This window comes from Homo sapiens, chromosome Y (assembly GCF_000001405.40).
Source record: "Homo sapiens chromosome Y, GRCh38.p14 Primary Assembly".
Taxonomy (NCBI): Eukaryota; Metazoa; Chordata; class Mammalia; order Primates; family Hominidae; genus Homo; species Homo sapiens.
Genome location: NC_000024.10, coordinates 25,167,280 through 25,185,814, shown reverse-complemented (window position 1 = coordinate 25,185,814; position 18,535 = coordinate 25,167,280). Strand labels below are relative to the sequence as shown.

The 18,535-nt window shown below is 39.0% G+C and overlaps 1 long non-coding RNA gene and 2 pseudogenes across 1 annotated transcript; 1 reads left to right on the top strand and 2 right to left on the bottom strand.

Moving 5' to 3' along the window:
• The first annotated feature begins 1,041 nt into the window (after window positions 1-1,041).
• Window positions 1,042-2,172, top strand: TTTY17C (testis expressed transcript, Y-linked 17C). Its single transcript, NR_002179.1, has 2 exons — window positions 1,042-1,101; window positions 2,067-2,172. It is a non-coding gene; the product is annotated as a testis expressed transcript, Y-linked 17C (long non-coding RNA).
• On the bottom strand, window positions 10,429-11,304 carry TRIM60P12Y (tripartite motif containing 60 pseudogene 12, Y-linked; annotated as a pseudogene).
• On the bottom strand, window positions 15,622-16,606 carry ZNF736P4Y (zinc finger protein 736 pseudogene 4, Y-linked; annotated as a pseudogene).
• Between the last annotated feature and the right edge of the window lie 1,929 nt (window positions 16,607-18,535).

Here is an 18,535-nt window from a genome sequence, read left to right as displayed (position 1 = left end):
TTGAGAGGTTTTGAGTGAGTTTCTTAATCCTGAGTTCTAGTTTGATTGCACTGTGGTCTGAGAGACATTTTGTTATAATTTCTGTTTTTTTACATTTGCTGAGGTGTGCTTTACTTCCAACTATATGGTTGATTTTGGAATGGTTGGGGTGTGGTTCTGAGAAGAACGTATATTCTGTTGATTTGGGGTGGAGAGTTCTGTAGACATCTATTAGGTCCGCCTGGTGCAGAGCTGAATTCAATTCCTACAATAATAACAGGAGACTTTAACACCCCACTGTCAACATTAGGCAGATCAATGAGACAGAAAGTTAACAAAGATACCTTCAATTTCTTTAATGATTTTATGGAATTGCTATTTTACATTCTCCTGTCTTTATCTCTACATGTTCAATTAGAAAATCCTCAGTGAATACTTTTCAGTATGATAGAGAAAATATTGTGCAATTAATTACTGATAGATACACAGTGAAGTAATTTCTGGTTTTCATTTGGTGCTCTCACACTGAGGATAGAAAAGTCTTGGTTGTAATCTTACATGATGAGGAGTTCTACTATGCTGTTTTCTTTTGCTCTGTGATCTACTGTCACAGTTGTTTGAACTTGCCACTGAAAAAAGTGGGAAATTGTTTCCCTCATGTCTACTCATCTCCCTTTCATAGGTTTTCTGGTGGTGTATTGTCTAGATGGCTTAGTAGCTCATGATCACAGAGGTCATATTTGACAAGAGAAAGCTTTGTTGCTCCAGGACTAAGTGAAGGTGTTTACCACCTAGTGCCTAAGGTTTCTCCAGAGCCACGATGGAGCTTAAAAACCATTACTGAAACCAGAAAGTGATGGCAGACATTGAGGGCTGCCCAGAGTAGAAAGCAAAATGCTCCCTTTTGCTTTACAAGTGGTCACTGCTTATTTGGTCATTAATGTTGCTTCTGACCATGACGTGTTTCTTGTTCATCTTTCTTGGTATTCCACTGAAGGTGCATCTAAGGAAACGAGCCCTGTGTGATAGTGGTAAAGAGAACAACTGCATCCTTCTGTAGCTGATGCCTTGTTGAGCTTTGAAGCACATTGAGAAGAATCTGAAATCCTTCCTCATTATGGGGTAAGTTGTGTCAAATTTGACTCCCATGTAAATGGCAGCAGGTTCACGATGTCAAAGAAGAAACTCAGAATCAGTAAATAGGATATGGAGTTTTACTGGCGACTTACATAGAGGGGAGAAAGTCCAGTGTCAGTGGGCTTAGCAGGATAACCACGTCCACTTGGAAAAAGCATGCAGTGTGCATAGCATATTTATTAAGCACATTTTTTCTGAACAATCTTTTATCTGTTGTCCTTCATTTAACAAAAAATAAGGGCCTCAGTCCCCTGTGTGGCCTACTCCATACCACAGCATGGGAGAGAGCAAAGGCTCAGACTTTCCTCATAGATAAAGAGTAATCTCCAGGTTGGCCACTACTAGATTTTTTTTTTTTTTTTTTTGAAATGAAGTTTCACTCTTGTTGCCCAGGCTGGAGGGTGTTTGCACAATCTCAGCTCACCGAAACCTCCGCCTCACAGGTTCAAGTGATTCCTCTGCCTCAGCCTTCTGAGTAGCTAGGATGACAAGCATTTGCCATGATACCTGGCTAATTTTGTATTTTTAGTAGAGACCAGGATTCTTCATGTTGATAAGGTGGTTCTTGAACTCCTGACCTCAGATGATCCATCTGATTTGGCCTCCCAAACTGCTGGGAGTACAGGCCTGACCCACTGCAGCTGGCCAGGCCACTAGTAGATTTTTAGCTTGAAACTCTGAACACTCAGAAACATTTTTTATATAAGATCAGTCTTCAGGTATGTGCAAGACAAGTTACCACTGTCAGTTGCATCCATCATACAGGCTGGTCCAGGCAGTGGAGGTTCTTCTTCCTGAGAATCTAGATTCAAACTTTTTTTTTCCTTTTTCTTGAATCCTTGGATTAACAGGAGTTTATCTAAAAAGCCTGATGTGTGTGCACATTGCTGGTATGGTTTTCTAAGTAAATGAGATGGCTTCTTACTTGGTAGGGTTTGTTCCTGTTACAGGTGTGTTCAGGCTGCTGAGGTGCCCATTCTCAAGATTTTCACTGGACATTCTGGGGTCCCAGTTCAAGTATTTTCCAATGTGAGTCAAGGTGAACCAGAGCCTGAAATTTTGGTTCAGTGTGGCCAGGCTGAGGCTGCCCTTTTAAAGGGAGAAATGTCAGGTTTGTGTCTTATTTTCCTTGTCATTTTAACATATCTTTTGGAATGGAGACCAGAAAAGAATCTGGATATTTGACAGCCCTCCTCCTAGATCTGGTACTATCTATACATGACTCTTAAGTGTCAACGTAGTTTGAGAGATCTCTCTTCCTGGAATAGCCTGAGTAGCCTAAAGAACAATGATCCTTGATGCTTGGCTCATGTGGTCTTCAGAGGAATTTCAAAAACCATAGAATTTGGAGGGTAGAGAAAGAGCTGTTACAAGTGATATGTTGCAGATGAAATAACTGGAGGCACGAAGTAAATGGGACCTGCTTGGAATGGTACACACACTGCCTGAGTGCAGTTGAACAGTCAAGCCAGTTCTCTGATTTGGGCCTACACTCACAATGAAGAGGAATATTTTTCCTCAAGGGAAGCCCAGGGGTTCTGAGGATTATGGGTGCCAGTGAAGAAAAAATGTGATGCCTCAGCCTAGTGCTTTTGCTGCTCCTGGCTTGTGACTTTGGGGATTCAATTTTCTCATTAGAGACATGGGCAATGGAAGTCACTCAGTGACTGGCTGCTCACCCAAGTTTTACCAGGCCACTACCCAGTGCGCACCCTGGAGTTCCAGGTACAGCTTGTGGTTCAAAAGGCTGGGGGATCTCTTGGGTGAGTTGAGGGCTTTGAGGGGGTTCTCCCACTCAGGGACCACTCATACCTACCCTTGTGTGCCCATCTGACAGCTCAGCATGTCTGCTGTATGCCACCCTTACTTTCTGCTCTGGCCAAGCCCATGTCTCCCCGGATTGGCTAGGGGCACTTGCTCACTAAGTCCCAGGTGACCTGTCCGTCCTTCCTCCAATGCACATCTTCAGGCAGGTGTCACCCAAATTTCCTCCTAGAGTGTGATCTCTGTGGGTTAGAGCAGCACATTCTGCTACAGCTTATTGACGAGTTACTAAATCACTGAATTTTCCAAGAAGAATGTGATCCTTGACACTCTTGATCTCCTTCTAGGGGGGCTGCACTTGTGGTTGCCATCCTGATTTCTTTGTGGAAATACCTAGTGGGTGAGGAAGGACTCAAGGACCGGGAACATGACAGAGCACCTAGGCTGACCTACCACGTGGCCCTCTGAGATCACTGCTGGCAGGAGTGTTTCATGGAGCTCCAGGCCCCTATTCTAAGATGCTTGCCCATAGCCCCTTCCGTGACTTCCAGGAAAGGTCTACTCTTTTAGCAAGCTGCACCCACTGGTCTCTAGGAGACAAGTATTCATTTACCTTTGTGTAAGTCACCTTCTGCTTCATTTCTATTAAATGTTCTCCTGGAAAAAAATGCCTAAGGAATGCTGGGTCTGTGCTGGAGCTTCTCTAAGTGCCAAAATCAGTAAGACGGTCTCAAAGATATAATTAATAGCACTTTCTACACAATATCTCAGGTTTACTTTTGACCAATAATGTGTAAAACTAATACTATCCTTTCATTCTTCATATTACTTTATTTAGGTCATCATACAAACATTTCATTTTCTTGAAATTTTTTATGCCAATTATTGTATTTTCTCTACTTTGTTCTAATTGCTACCATTTTAGATGCAAAATTTTAGTAATATAATATGCTGCATAAAGGCTAATAGGTGATCACAACTTATTTAAACTGTAATTAGATTTCTTAAGTAAATAATTTCAGAAAACTGAGTTTATATTATTTGTATGAATTATTTTACATCTTATCCTCTATCTTAAGAAAATTTTAGCTGCATATGCAATTCAAAATTGGCAGATTTTTTAAATAGGCAACTTTAAAACATTTCATTGAATATGTTTGGTAATACAATTCTAAAATATTTTATTTTAGAAACCAACACACTTGACAGTTGATATTCATATTATCTATGAAAGTAACATTATGAACATGCTTTTATAGTTTCCCAAAAGAAGAAAAAAGTCTATTCTGGTCTTCAGTAGTAAAACTTAAAGATTATGGAAATGAGATTAAATTTATTCACTAAAATACTTACAAAAACTGAGATTCATTAACTTGTTCTTTATTATTTACTATATGATAATGAACAGATTATAAGATGTTCAGAATTTGCTTCATTATAGAAATAAAGCCAAACATCTCTTTGAAAGAATCATTACAATTAAACAGAAGAAACCTATCATTTATATTATTTTAAAAATCACTGGAGGAGCCAAGATGGCCGAATAGGAACAGCTCCGGTCTACAGCTCCCAGGGTGAGTGAAGCAGAAGATGGTGATTTCTGCATTTCCATCTGAGGTACCCAGTTCATCTCACTAGGGAGTGCCAGACAGTGGGCGCAGGTCAGTGGGTGCGCGCACCATGTGCAAGCCGAAGCAGGGCCAGGCATTGCCTCACTTGGGAAGTACAAGGGGTCAGGGAGTTCTCTTTCTGAGTCAAAGAAAGGGGTGATGGACGCACCTGAAAACTCGGGTTACTCCCACCAGAATACTGCTCTTTTCTGACCGGCTTAAGAAACGGCACACCACGAGATTATATCCCACACCTGGCTCAGAGGGTCCTATGCCCACGGAGTCTTGCTGATTGCTAGCACAGCAGTCTGAGATCAAACTGCAAGGTGGCAGCAAGGCTGGAGGAGGGGCGCCCGACATTGCCCAGGCTTGCTTAGGTAAACAAAGCAGCAGGGAAGCTCGAACTGGGTGGAGCCCACCACAGCTCAAGGAGGCCTGCCTGCCTCTGTAGGCTCCACCTCTGGGGGCAGGGCACAGACAAACAAAAAGACAGCAGTAACCTCTGCAGACTTAAATGTCCCTGTCTGACAGCTTTGAAGAGAGCAGTGGTTCTCCCAGCAAGCAGCTGGAGATCTGAGAAGGGGCAGACTGCCTCCTCAAGTGGGTCCCTGACCCCTGACCCCTGAGCAGCCTAACTGGGAGGCACCCCCCAGCAGGGGCACACTGACACCTCACACGGCAGCGTATTCCAACAGAACTGCAGCTGAGGGTCCTGTCTGTTAGAAGGAAAACTAACAAACAGAAAGGACATCCACACCAAAAACCCATCTGTACATCACCATCATCAAAGACCAAAAGTAGATAAAACCACAAAGATGGGGAAAAAACAGAACAGAAAAACTGGAAACTCTAAAAAGCAGAGCGCCTCTCCTCCTCCAAAGGAACGCAGTTCCTCACCAGCAACGGAACAAAGCTGGATGGAGAATGACTTTGACGAGCTGAGAGAAGAAGGCTTCAGACGATCAAATTAATCTGAGCTACAGGAGGACATTCAAACCAAAGGCAAAGAAGTTGAAAACTTGAAAAAAAATTAGGAGAATGTATAACTAGAATAACCAATACAGAGAAGTGCTTAAAGGAGCTGATGGAGCTGAAAACCAAGGCTCAAGAACTACATGAAGAATGCAGAAGCCTCAGGAGCCGGTGCGATCAACTGAAAGAAAGGGTATCAGCGATGGAAGATGAAATGACTGAAATGAAGTGAGAAGGGAAGTTTAGAGAAAAAAGAATAAAAAGAAATGAACAAAGCCTCCAAGAAATATGCGACTATATGAAAAGACCAAATCTATGTCTGATTGGTGTACCTGAAAGTGACAGGGAGAATGGAACCAAGCTGGAAAACACTCTGCAGGATATTATCCAGGAGAACTTCCCCAATCTAGCAAGGCAGGCCAATGTTCAGATTCAGGAAATACAGAGAACACCACAAAGATACTCCTCAAGAAGAGCAAGACACATAATTGTCAGATTCACCAAAGTTGAAACAAAGGAAAAAATGTTAAGGGCAGCCAGAGAGAAAGGTCGGGTTACCCTCAAAGGGAAGCCCATCAGACCAAGAGTGGATCTCTCGGCAGAAACCCTACAAGCCAGAAGATAGTGAGGGCCAATATTCAACATTCTTAAAGAAAAGAATTTACAAACCAGAATTTCATATCCAGCCAAACTAAGCTTCATAAGCGAAGGAGAAATAAAATACTTTACAGACAAGCAAATGCTGAAAGATTTTGTCACCACTAGACCTGCCCTAAAAGAGCTCCTGAAGGAAGCGCTAAACATTCAAAGGAACAACAAGAACCAGCCACTGGAAAATCATGTCAAAATGTAAAGACCATCAAGACTAGGAAGAAACTGTATCGACTAACGAGCAAAATAACCAGCTAACATCATAATGACAGGATCAAATTCACACATAACAATATTAACTTTAAAAGTAAATGGACTAAATGTTCCAATTAAAAGACACAGACTGGCAAATTGGATAAAGAGTCAACACCCATCAGTGTGCAGTATTCAGGAAACCCATCTCACGTGCAGAGACACACATAGGCTCAAAATAAAAGGATGGAGGAAGATCTACCAAGCAAATGGAAAACAAAAAAAGGCAGGGGTTGCAATCCTAGTCTCTGATAAAACAGACGTTAAACCAACAAAGACCAAAAGAGACAAAGAAGGCCACTACATAATGGTAAAGGGATCAATTCAACAAGAAGAGCTAACTATCTTAAATATATATGCACCCAATACAGGAGCACCAAGATTCATAAAGCAAGTCCTGAGTGACCTACAAAGAGACTTAGACTCCCACACAATAATAATGGGAGACTTTAACACCCCACTGTCAACATTAGACAGATCAAAGAGACAGAAGGTTAACAAGGATACCCAGGAATTGAACTCAGCTCTGCACCAAGCGGACCTAATAGACATCTGCAGAACTCTCCACCCCAAATCAACAGAATATACATTTTTTTTCAGCACCAAACCACACTTATTCCAAAATTGACCACATACTTGGAAGTAAAGCTCTCCTCAGCAAATGTAAAAGAACAGAAATTATAACAAACTATGTCTCAGACCACAGTGCAATCAAACTAGAACTCAGGATTAAGAATCGCACTCAAAACCACTCAACTACATGGAAACTGAACAACCTGCTCCTGAAGGACTACTGGGTACATAACGAAATGAAGGCAGAAATAAAGATGTTCTTTGAAACCAACGAGAACAAAGACACAACATACCAGAATCTCTGGGACGCATTCAAAGCAGTGTGTAGAGGGAAATTTATAGCACTAAATGCCCACAAGAGAAAGCAGGAAAGATCCAAAATTGACACCGTAACATCACAATTAAAAGAACTAGAAAAGCAAGAGCAAACACAGTCAAAAGCTAGCAGAAGGCAATAAATAACTAAAATCAGAGCAGAACTGAAGGAAATAGAGACACAAAAAACCCTTCAAAAAATTAATGAATCCAGGAGCTGGTTTTTTGAAAGGATCAACAAAATGATAGACCGCTAGCAAGACTAATAAAGAAAAAAAGAGAGAAGAATCAAATAGATGCAATAAAAAATGATAAAGGGGATATCACCACCGATCCCACAGAAATACAAACTACCATCAGAGAATACTAAAAACACCTCTATGCAAATAAACTAGAAAATCTAGAAGAAATGGATAAATTCCTGGACACATACACTCTCCCAAGACTAAACCAGGAAGAAGTTGAATCTCTGAATAGACCAATAACAGGATCTGAAATTGTGGCAATAATCAATAGCTTACCAACCAAAAAGAGTCCAGGACCAGATGGAATCACAGCCAAATTCTACCAGAGGTACAAGGAGGAACTGGTACCATTCCTTCTGAAACTATTCCAATTAATAGAAAAAGAGGGAATCCTCCCTAACTCTTTTCCCGAGGCCAGCGTCATTCCGATACCAAAGCCAGGCAGAGACACAACAAAAAAAGAGAATTTTAGACCAATACCCTAGATGAACACTGATGCAAAAATCCTCAATAAAATAATGGCAAAACGAATCCAGCAACACATCAAAAAGCTTATTCACCATGATCAACTGGGCTTCATTCCTGAGATGCAAGGCTGGTTGAATATATGCAAATCAATAAATGTAATCCAGCATATAAACAGAGCCAAAGACAAAAACCACACGATTCTCTCAATAGATGCAGTAAAAGCCCTTGACAAAATTCAACAACCCTTCTGCTAAAAACTCTCAATAAATTAGGTATTGATGGGACGTATTTCAAAATAATAAGAGCTATCTATGACAAACCCACAGCCAATATCATACTGAATGGGCAAAAACTGGAAGCATTCCCTTTGAAAACTGGCACAAGACAGGGATGCCCTCTCTCACCACTCCTATTCAACATAGTGTTGGAAGTTCTGGCCAGGGCAATTAGGCAGGAGAAGGAAATAAAATGTATTCAATTAGGAGAAGAGGAAGTCAAATTGTCCCTGTTTGCAGACGACATGATTGTATATCTAGAAAACCCCATCGTCTCAGCTCAAAATCTCCTTAAGCTGATAAGCAACTTTAGCAAAGTCTCAGGATACAAAATCGATGTACAAAATACACAAGCATTCTTATACACCAACAACAAACAAACGGAGAGCCAAATCATGAGTGAACTCTCATTCACAATTGCTTCAAAGAGAATAAAAAACCTAGGAATCCAACTTACAAGGGATGTGAATGACCTCTTCAAGGAGAACTACAAACCACTGCTCAAGGAAATAAAAGAGGATACAAACAAATGGAAGAACATTCCATGCTCATGGATAGGAAGAATTAATATCGTGTAAATGGCCATACTGCCCAAGGTCAGTTACAGATTCAATGCCATCCCCATCAAGCTACCAATGCCTTTCTTCACAGAATTGGAAAAAAAAACTTTAAAGTTCATATGGATCCAAAAAAGAGCCCACATTGCCAAGTCAATCCTAAACCAAAAGAACAAAGCTGGAGGCGTCACACTACCTGACTTCAAACTATACTACAAGTCTACAGTAACCAAAACAGCATGGTACTGTTACCAAAACAGAGATATAGATCAATGGAACAGAACAGAGCCCTCAGAAATAACGCCGCATATCTACAACTATCTGATCTTTGACAAACCTGAGAAAAACAAGCAATGGGGAAAGGATTCCCTATTTAATAAATGGTGCTGGGAAAACTGGTAGCCATATGTAGAAAGCTGAAACTGGATCCCTTCCTTACACCTTATACAAAAATCAATTCAAGATGGATTAAAGACTTAAACGTTAGGCCTAAAACCATAAAAACCCTAGAAGAAAACCTAGGCTTTACCCTTCAGGACATAGGCATAGGCAAGGACTTCATGTCTAAAACACCAAAAGCAATGGCAACAAAAGACAAAATTGACAAACGGGATCTAATTTAACTAAAGAGCTTCTGCACAGCAAAAGAAACTACTGTCAGAGTGAACAGGCAACCTACAAAATGGGAGAAAATTTTCACAACCTACTCATCTGACAAAGGGCTAATATCCAGAATCTACAATGAGCTAAAACAAATTTACAAGAAAAAAACAAACAACCCCATCAAAAAGTGGGTGAAGGACATGAACAGACACTTCTCAAAAGAAAACATTTATGCAGCCAAAAAACACATGAAAAAATGCTCATCATCACTGGCCATCAGAGAAATGCAAATTAAAACCACAATGAGATATCATCTCACACCAGTTAGAATGGCAATCATTAAAAAGTCAGGAAACAACAGGTGCTGGAGAGGATGTGGAGAAACAGGAACACTTTTACACTGTTGGCGGGACTGTAAACTAGTTCAACCATTGTAGAAGTCAGTGTGGCGATTCCTCAGGGATCTAGAACTGGAAATAGCATTTGACCCAGCCATCCCATTACTGGGTATATACCCAAAGGACTATAAATCATTCTGCTATAAAGACACATGCACACGTATGTTTATTGCAGCATTATTCACAATAGCAAAGACTTGGAACCAACCCAAATGTCCAACAATGATAGACTGGATTAAGAAAATGTGGCACATATACACCATGGAATACTATGCAGCCATTAAAAATGATGAGTTCATGTCCTTTGTAGGGACATGGGTGAAATTGGAAATCATCATTCTCAGTAAACTATCTCAAGAACAAAAAACCAAACACCGCATATTCTCACTCATAGGTGGGAATTGAACAATGAGATCACATGGACACAGGAAGGGGAATATCACAGTCTGGGGACTGTGGTGGGGTGGGGGGAGGGGGGAGGGATAGCATTGGGAGATATACCTAATGCTAGATGACGAGTTAGTGGGTGCAGTGCACCAGCATGGCATATGTATACATATGTAACTAACCTGCACAATGTGCACATGGACCCTAAAACTTAAAGTATAATAAAAAAAAATCACCAATTTATATTAAAAAAAAAAAAAAACTTACTGGATTTTACTTCTGGCAGAAGCAGGTTTTCTTAGTACCTGGTGCAATGAAACCAGCCTTCATATGTCACATAATTGCCCAAAATTTACCCTGAACAGAAGGCTGATTCTGCCAGTTTCTAAGAAGAGCTATGATTCTAAGAGGCCAGGACAGCAGGGCAGAAATAAAATATCCTTTGTTTATAACAAATGTTTGGTATTATTATTCCATATCACACAGTTTTTCTATCCTCAGAGAAATTAAGTTGAGGATAGGATGTGTCAAGATCTAGAATCAAGGCTTGGCGTGGTGGCTGACACGTGTAATCCCAGCAGTTTGGGAGGCTGAGATGGGCAAATCAGAAGGTCAGGAGATCAACCATTTTGTCTAACAATGGTGAAACCCCGTCTCTACTAAAAACACAAAAAAATTAGCCAGGCATGGCAGTGGGCACATGTAGTCCCATCTACTTAGGAGGCTGATGCAGAAGAATCAATTTAACCCAGGAGGTGGAGGTTGTAGTGCACTGAGATCACACCACTGTACTCCAGTGTGGGTGGCAGAGCAAGACTCCATTAAAAAAAAAAATCCAGAATCAAATGTAAAAAAAATGGCCTAGTAATTTTGTCTAAGACACAATATAGAGTTGGGAGATTAAAATCATATTTTGCTAATCTAAAGGGAAAGGGTTTCGGGAATTTTAGGTTTTGATACCTGTGGTGCACAGTATTGACATGTATTAGCCATTCCAGGTTTGATTAAATAGACATGCCCTCTACCTCACTCAGTAGATGTTTAAAGGTAGAAATGCAATTTAAAAATTTTACAAGATTTTAACTTAGTTTTTATAGTATGTCCAACTCTATAATTTGTTTCAATTGTGAGAGTCAACTGTGCAGCAGTGGTACAATTTTGTTCACTTCATATGCAGAATTCATGTCATACTATAGACATTTTTATTTTCATCTGAGTCTACTGGCTAATTTCAAGAAGAATATTTATTTCCAATTATGTAGCTTCTATTATATAGCTAGTATTATCTTGTTTACTTCATGTATATGCCAAAAGGACCTCATGACTTAATAAATGTTCAACTATTAATTTGAATAAATTGGCCTAATAAGTTTAATAAACTCAATTATATCAAGTTCATAATGTAAAATGAACAATAAATAAAAATTGGATTAAATAGCATTCTCAAATTGAAATAAAATAAAAAATGTACTAAATAAATAGCATACAATAATACACACACCATGAAATTACATGTAAAAATTATTTTGTGAAGATCATTAAATTTTATCAAAGTCACATTCATCATCTCTGAGAAAATTATACAAGGAATGCTTTATGAAATTAGACTAAAATAAATGTATATATTATGTCTATAGTGAGCAACAAGCAAACAGACAAAAAAAGGAGAATGTGCACAAGATGTTTCTAAGACAAGAGCAATAACATTTTTGGTAAACGGGATTAATACAAGGCAGAGAAAATAGATTTGCTTTCAAAATCTTTGAAGTTTCCGGTTTGCTGGTAAGTTATCAAGACATGTAAAATTATGTGTTTTATTCTAATATTTTTCTTTGCTTCTCAAAGTAGGTACACAATCACAAACAAATATGAGTATTCTCTATAAAGCTGTTACATACAAAGTTTATTTTACAGTGATTTGTCTGTATATTTACATCCATTTAAATAAAAAATAAAGGTATGAATATGTTTAGCAGACCAGAGAAGTCATCAGTTAAAAAAAAGAAGTAGGATAAAATTTTGCAAATAGTTGTTCAGAATTCAGAATTAAAGCATATAGGTCTATTATATTCCAAATCTTCATAACAACCATCACAATAATCTGTAGTTACAAGAAAAACAAAAATATAAATTGTAGGAACCATATTCTTCAAATTATTTTAAGTTAAAGACCACTGACAAAGGAATCATGAGAGATATTATTTCAGTGTAATTCTATAGAATATAGTTACCATCTGTTACCTACAACCATGGGTAAAATGGGATAAGTAACATCAGTGGCAAGATAAAAATTCAATGTAAAGTAGCATTATTACATTCACAAATATTTTCTTCAATTAAAAAAATTAAGTTTACACATTGCCATTAAAAAGGCATTTTGAAATTCACTGTATTTTAATTATCTTAATCTGCAAATGGTAAAGCAATTTCCTTCTAAAATCCAAATTGTTTCTCTTACTATGCAGAATATTATTCTGGTTACTTTTCACACTCCTATCATCCTGTCACTTATGATACTGCACTTATGATACCCAACCACTAAGTAGACTTTCCACTTAGAATTTCTTCATGTATCTTAGATTTCAGTTTTCTTAATCTTCCATATGAAAATATATAAATCTGTCAATCTAATATAGAAGAACCTCTCTTAAATCTAGTGCAGGGACCATTGACCATGCTCTTTCACATAAATTCTAGAAATGAACACACAGCTTCAAATATAAGACTTAAATTCCATCAATAGTTGCTTTTGAAAAAATATTAAATTTTTATTTGTTTGTTATGAGAGAAAGTTTCACCCTGTTGCCATGCTGGACTGCAGTGTGTGATCTTGGCTCACTGCAACCTCCACTTCCTGCATTCAAGCAATCCTCCTGCCTTAGACTCCTGAGTACCTGGAACTACAGGTGTGCACCACCATGCTCAAAAGTTTTTTTTGTTTTGTTTTGTTTTTGTTTGTTTTTTGTAGATATGGGGTTTCACCATGTTGGCCAGAATGGTTTTGATTTCTTGACCTCATGATCTATCCACCTTGACCTCCCCAAATCCTGGGATTACACACATGAGCCTCTGTGCCCAGCTTAAATTATTTTCATATAAAAAAGTAGGTTTCTTTTAGAGGAAAGAGACCAACATTGCAGATTAGGAGCAGCTAGACCCTGTAGTTCTCACAGAGAAAAATGCAAGGCGTGCATAAATACAGCACCTTCAAATGAAATATCCAGGTATTTGCCTTCAGAATAATCAAATAAACAACTTGTGGAGAGTAGAGCAAGGCCGAACAATGGGCCACCCAGAAAAGACATAGAGCCAAGAGAACCTCCCCATCCAGTAAAGCAGTAAGTGCATGTGTGACCCTGGGAACCTACAATTCTCCCACACATCTTTTTAATCCTCAGATGGGGAGACTCCCTGAGGAACCTACTTTACCAAGGCCTTTAGTCTAACACATAGAGCTACTTGGGGTCTCAGCATAGCAACTGCACTGGCGTGTTGCAGAGCCACAGATACTCTGGCTTTCCAGGATTCCCAGAAAAAGTAGCTGCAACGCCAGCAAAGCAGGAGGTTATACCCATATACATACCTATAGGAAATAGGCAGAATCCAGGGACCTGAGCAGTGACAGTCTGTAGGACCCACTTCCACAGTGCCTCATAGAGTAAGATCTACTGGCTTAGAATTCCAGCCAATCATTGGCAGCAGCGCTGTATCTCTCTGAATTGGAGCTACCAGAAACAGGAGTGGACCTCCATCTTTGCTGTTTCAACAACATAGCCATCCCAGCCTTCAGGCTTTGAAAAGCCTAAGCTGACTGGGGCAGCAAGGATCTATAGCACCGTACAGGTGCTCTAAAATGACACCACCAGTCTGCCTGGTAAAGCACGTCCCCAAACTCTTCCTCCTCACTGAAAAGAACTTCCCAAACAGGGTGTCCAGCTACCACCACCAGTGTTATTTGATTTATGGAATTTTGAAACCTCTTCGGGGTATAGTTCCTAGAGTGAAGAGTGAGCTGCCACTTTTGCTGTTTTTGTGACTTAGCTGTTCCAGCTTTCTGGCTTTGGAGAATCCAAATAAACAAGGGATGAAAGTGATACCTCTGCACAGCAGAGCTCTCCTACAAAAATGTGGCTAGACTGCTATCTTAAGTGGGTCCCGAATTATGTTTTCCTCACTGGGTAAGACATTTGAAGAGGGGTTCCAGCTATCTCCTTCAGGTGCTTTTGGGCTGGAAACAGGTCTATACCTGCCTGGGATGGAGCTTCCAGAGAATGGGGCATACTGCCTTTGTTGCTGTTTTTCAGCATTCAGTGGGACAGCTTCAGATTCTGTAAAACCTGAGGTGACCAGAAACTGCAGTGGACACAAAACATACTGCAGCAGCCCTTTAGAAAAGTGGCCATACTGTTACATGAGCACCTGTTCTCACACATTCTCACTGTGCAGACTCTCCAGGTCTCGGCCATTAGCCAATCATTGGCAGGGATATTGAGCCTGCAGCAACCTAGCAACTTCCTGGACACAGCCTCTAGGAGTAACTGAAAATATTTCTGCCACTATCTCTGTGTTAGAACTGTCCTTGCTATGCTTCTCAGACTAATGAAAAATTCAAAACCCAGGTACCTTATTTACACCTCAAACAAGCTGCATTTTACCCAAAGAGTGAGGGCCAGTCCACCCTCCATGGGTTCCACAAGCTACCTATTGCTCCTCACAAGACAGTAAACACCAAACTTGGCCAAAAGCAGAGATCCTCCATCCTGGGCTGTCTGTAGTAAGGGATTGCTGACCTACATCTCTCTGAGATGCAGCCCCTAGAAGCCAAGCAAAGAAGGGGCAGCAAGCCACCTCATGTGGTGTCAAGAGTGTTGGTGCAAGAGCATCTGTAGTAATATGTTGCCAGTGATGGCCACTTCTCTAGGTTCAACTTTCTCCCATAAGAGGCTTTAGCCCTAGAAAAATTGTTGGACCTAATTTTTGCAGGATGGTCTTGCAAATCAGAAGAAATTGTTCCAATTGAATACCCCTTGGTCTCCTGGCCTCTTATAGGGACCTATTCTGGCCACAGGTTCTTACAGGGCAGTCTCAGTTACCCTGGGATCCCATACCATAGCATCGGTACTGGTGGGCCATGCCTGATCCCTGAAGAGCTTCAGCAATACAGCCCCTATGACTCCACCAGTCCACATGTTTCTTCCCCATACTGCAGCTTCCCACGAGACCAAAGTAAGCTTATATCCAACCAAAGGGAGCTTCAGAAGTGAAAAAAATTAATATGATCCTATTCACATAAGCAAACGCTGAAGAAATCTGTTACCCAAGACCTGTCTTACAAGGGCTTCTGAAGAAAACACTAAATAAAAAAAAACCCTGTAATTAGTCACTTCAAAAACACACCAAAGTAAATAAACTGCTGACACTCTAAAGCGACCACAAAACAAATGTGCAAAATAGCCAGCTAAAATCGTGGTGGCAGAATCAAATCAACACATATGAATACTAACCATAACTGTAAATGGGCTAAATGCCCCAATTAAAAAACAGTGTGGCAAGTTGAGTAAAGAATCAAGATCTAATGGTATTCTGTAATCTAGACACTCATCTCAATTAAGCTAAATATAAAGAAAAAAGAGAAATCTACCAAATAGATGGAAAACAGAAAAAAGGAGGTGATGCAATCCTAGTTTCTAGCAAAGCAAACTTAAAATCCACGTAGTTTTTTTTTAAGAGAAAGAAGGCATTCCATAATAGTAAAATGCAATAGACAAACCCAACCCAAAAGCACTGAGTATAAAGCGAGTTCTTAGAGATGCTGCAAGATGTTAAGTTAAATCTTCTTCAACAGTCATTACCTTTATGTGGCATTTGTTCAGTATTAAGTCTCTGATGTTGGACATAAAATCAGGATGCTTTAAAAGCTTTTCCACATTTTTAACACTTGTGAAGCTTCTCTCTACTATGAGTTCTATTATTTCTAATGAAGTGTGAGAATGAACTTAATGTTTCACCACATTCTTCACATTTGTAGGCTTTTCCTGCAGTGTGAATTCTCTTATGATTAGCAAAGTCTGAAAAGCACTTAAAGGTTTTGCCACATGCTTCAGATTTGTAAGGGCTGTCTTCTATATGAATTATCTTGTGGTTAATAAGGATTGAAAAGCAGGTAAAGGCTTTGACTTTTTTTTTTCTACAGGTGTAGGGTTTCCCTCCAGTATAAATTCTCTTATGTTTACTAACGGCTGAGAACCACTTAAAAGCTTCTCCACATTAGTTATATATGTAGGGTTTCTCTTCAGTATGAGTTATCTTATGTTTATTAAGGTCTGAGAACCCCCCATAGGCTCTGTGACATTCTTCACATTTGTATGATGGTTTCTCTCCAGTATAAATTATTTTATTTTTAGCAAGTTCTGAGAATTCTCTTAGAATTAGTAAGGTCTGAGAAACATTTAAAGGCTTTTACACATTCTTTGCAATTGTAGGATCTATTTCCAAAATGATTTATCTTGTGTTTAATAAGGGTTGAGGAGCAGGTTAAAATTTTGTCACATTCTTCACATTTGTAGGTTTTTCCTCCAGTATGAACTCTCTTATGTTCAGTAAGGTTTGAGAACTTTTTAAAGGCTTTGCCACATTCTTCATATCTGTAGCATCTCTCTGCAGTAAGTATTCCATTTTTTATAGTAAAATCTGAGAACTACCTACAGTTTCTGCCATATTCTTTGCATTTGTAGTATTTCTCTCTGCTAAAGGTTTTCTTCTGTTCACTGAAGATTGGGTACACCTGGAAAGCTTTCCAAATTTATAACATTGACAAGTTTTTCTCTGGGTAGTTGATAAACATTGAAGAAAGAAATTATAACTGCTTTTCTTTCTGTCCCTTGTAGTAATTCACACTTTGCTAGTCTTTTTTAAATGTAAATGGTTAAGGTCACAGGTTCCATATTTTCTCAGAATCACTTTTTGAAATGAATGTTTTATAATATGTTCCCACCATATGTCTGCAGTAATATGAAAAGAGCCAGCTGAAAAACAAAAACAAAAGGAACAACAAAATTTCTCCCACATTAGGCTCATGTGAATACATTTTACAAATATTAGTTACACAAAGCACATTAACAAGGTGACAATAAAATACCACAGGCTGTAATTCCTTTATAGACATGTAAACTTAACACAATTATAATGAACAAAATTCCTGTGTGAGAAGACTAAGAATCAGTTAAGAATTTATAGCACTTCAAGGGAGCAAAATGTCAAGAACTACATAGAAGTGTAATAAAAGTGTTTTATATTTACCCACCGCAGCCATTCTTCATCCTATGATGACTTCAAATATAGACTCCCAACTCATGTCTTCCCCCTTCAAAAATAAATAAAATAGTGGCACCTGTGTTCAGGCTTCTTGTTTTGTGAGACCTTACTAAAGACTAATTTCTATATTATATGACAGTGTTTAAAGGAAAAGTGGTATTCTTTGACAGTTTGGGGCTGGTGAGACCAAAGGTAAATGACTGTTACAAAAAAAGACTTCAGTGTCATAGACAGAAAATGGGTATAGCAATTGACTGTAGTCAGAATCTCAATAGGAAACATAGGGAATGTCCATGAGTGGTGGCCCACACCTGTAATCCCAGCACTTTGGGAGTCTGAGGCAGGCTGTTCACCTGTGGTCAAAAGTTCAACACCAGCCGGGTCAACATGGTGAAACCCCATCTCTACTAAAAATACAACAATTACACAGGCATGGTGGCGGGCACCTCTAATCTCAGCTACTCTGGTGACTGAGCCAGGAGAATCACTGGAAAGTAGGAGTTGATTCTTGCAGTGAGCCAAGACCATGCCATCACATTGCAGCATGGACAACAAGAGTAAAATGTTCACTCAAAATAAAATAAAATAAAATAAATATAAAATAAAATAAAATATAATAAATAATTGGAAATATTTTTTAATGAAAAAACACAAGCCCAGATAAAACTTGTATAGAACAGAAGTGAGAGACGTCAAGAATCTCTAGCCCAAAAGTTGGTTCATATTTCCCAAGAAAAAATCACTTAATAAGCATTTTCACATGTGGTGATTTATTATACAAATTGCAACATAAGACTACAACATATACAAAACATTAAGATAATATGTCTCACTCAAAGATAAAAATAAATATTCAGAAATCAATGATACAAAACAGAGATGTAAAACTTACCTAAGAAAATTTCAATTAAAGTCTGCATTTATTTTTGAAAGAAAAAATAAATTGACCTGAGAAATTAACTTACCATCTGAATGATGCTTAATGAGTTAAATGGAAATAAATAAAACAAAATGAAATAACAAAAATGAAATTAA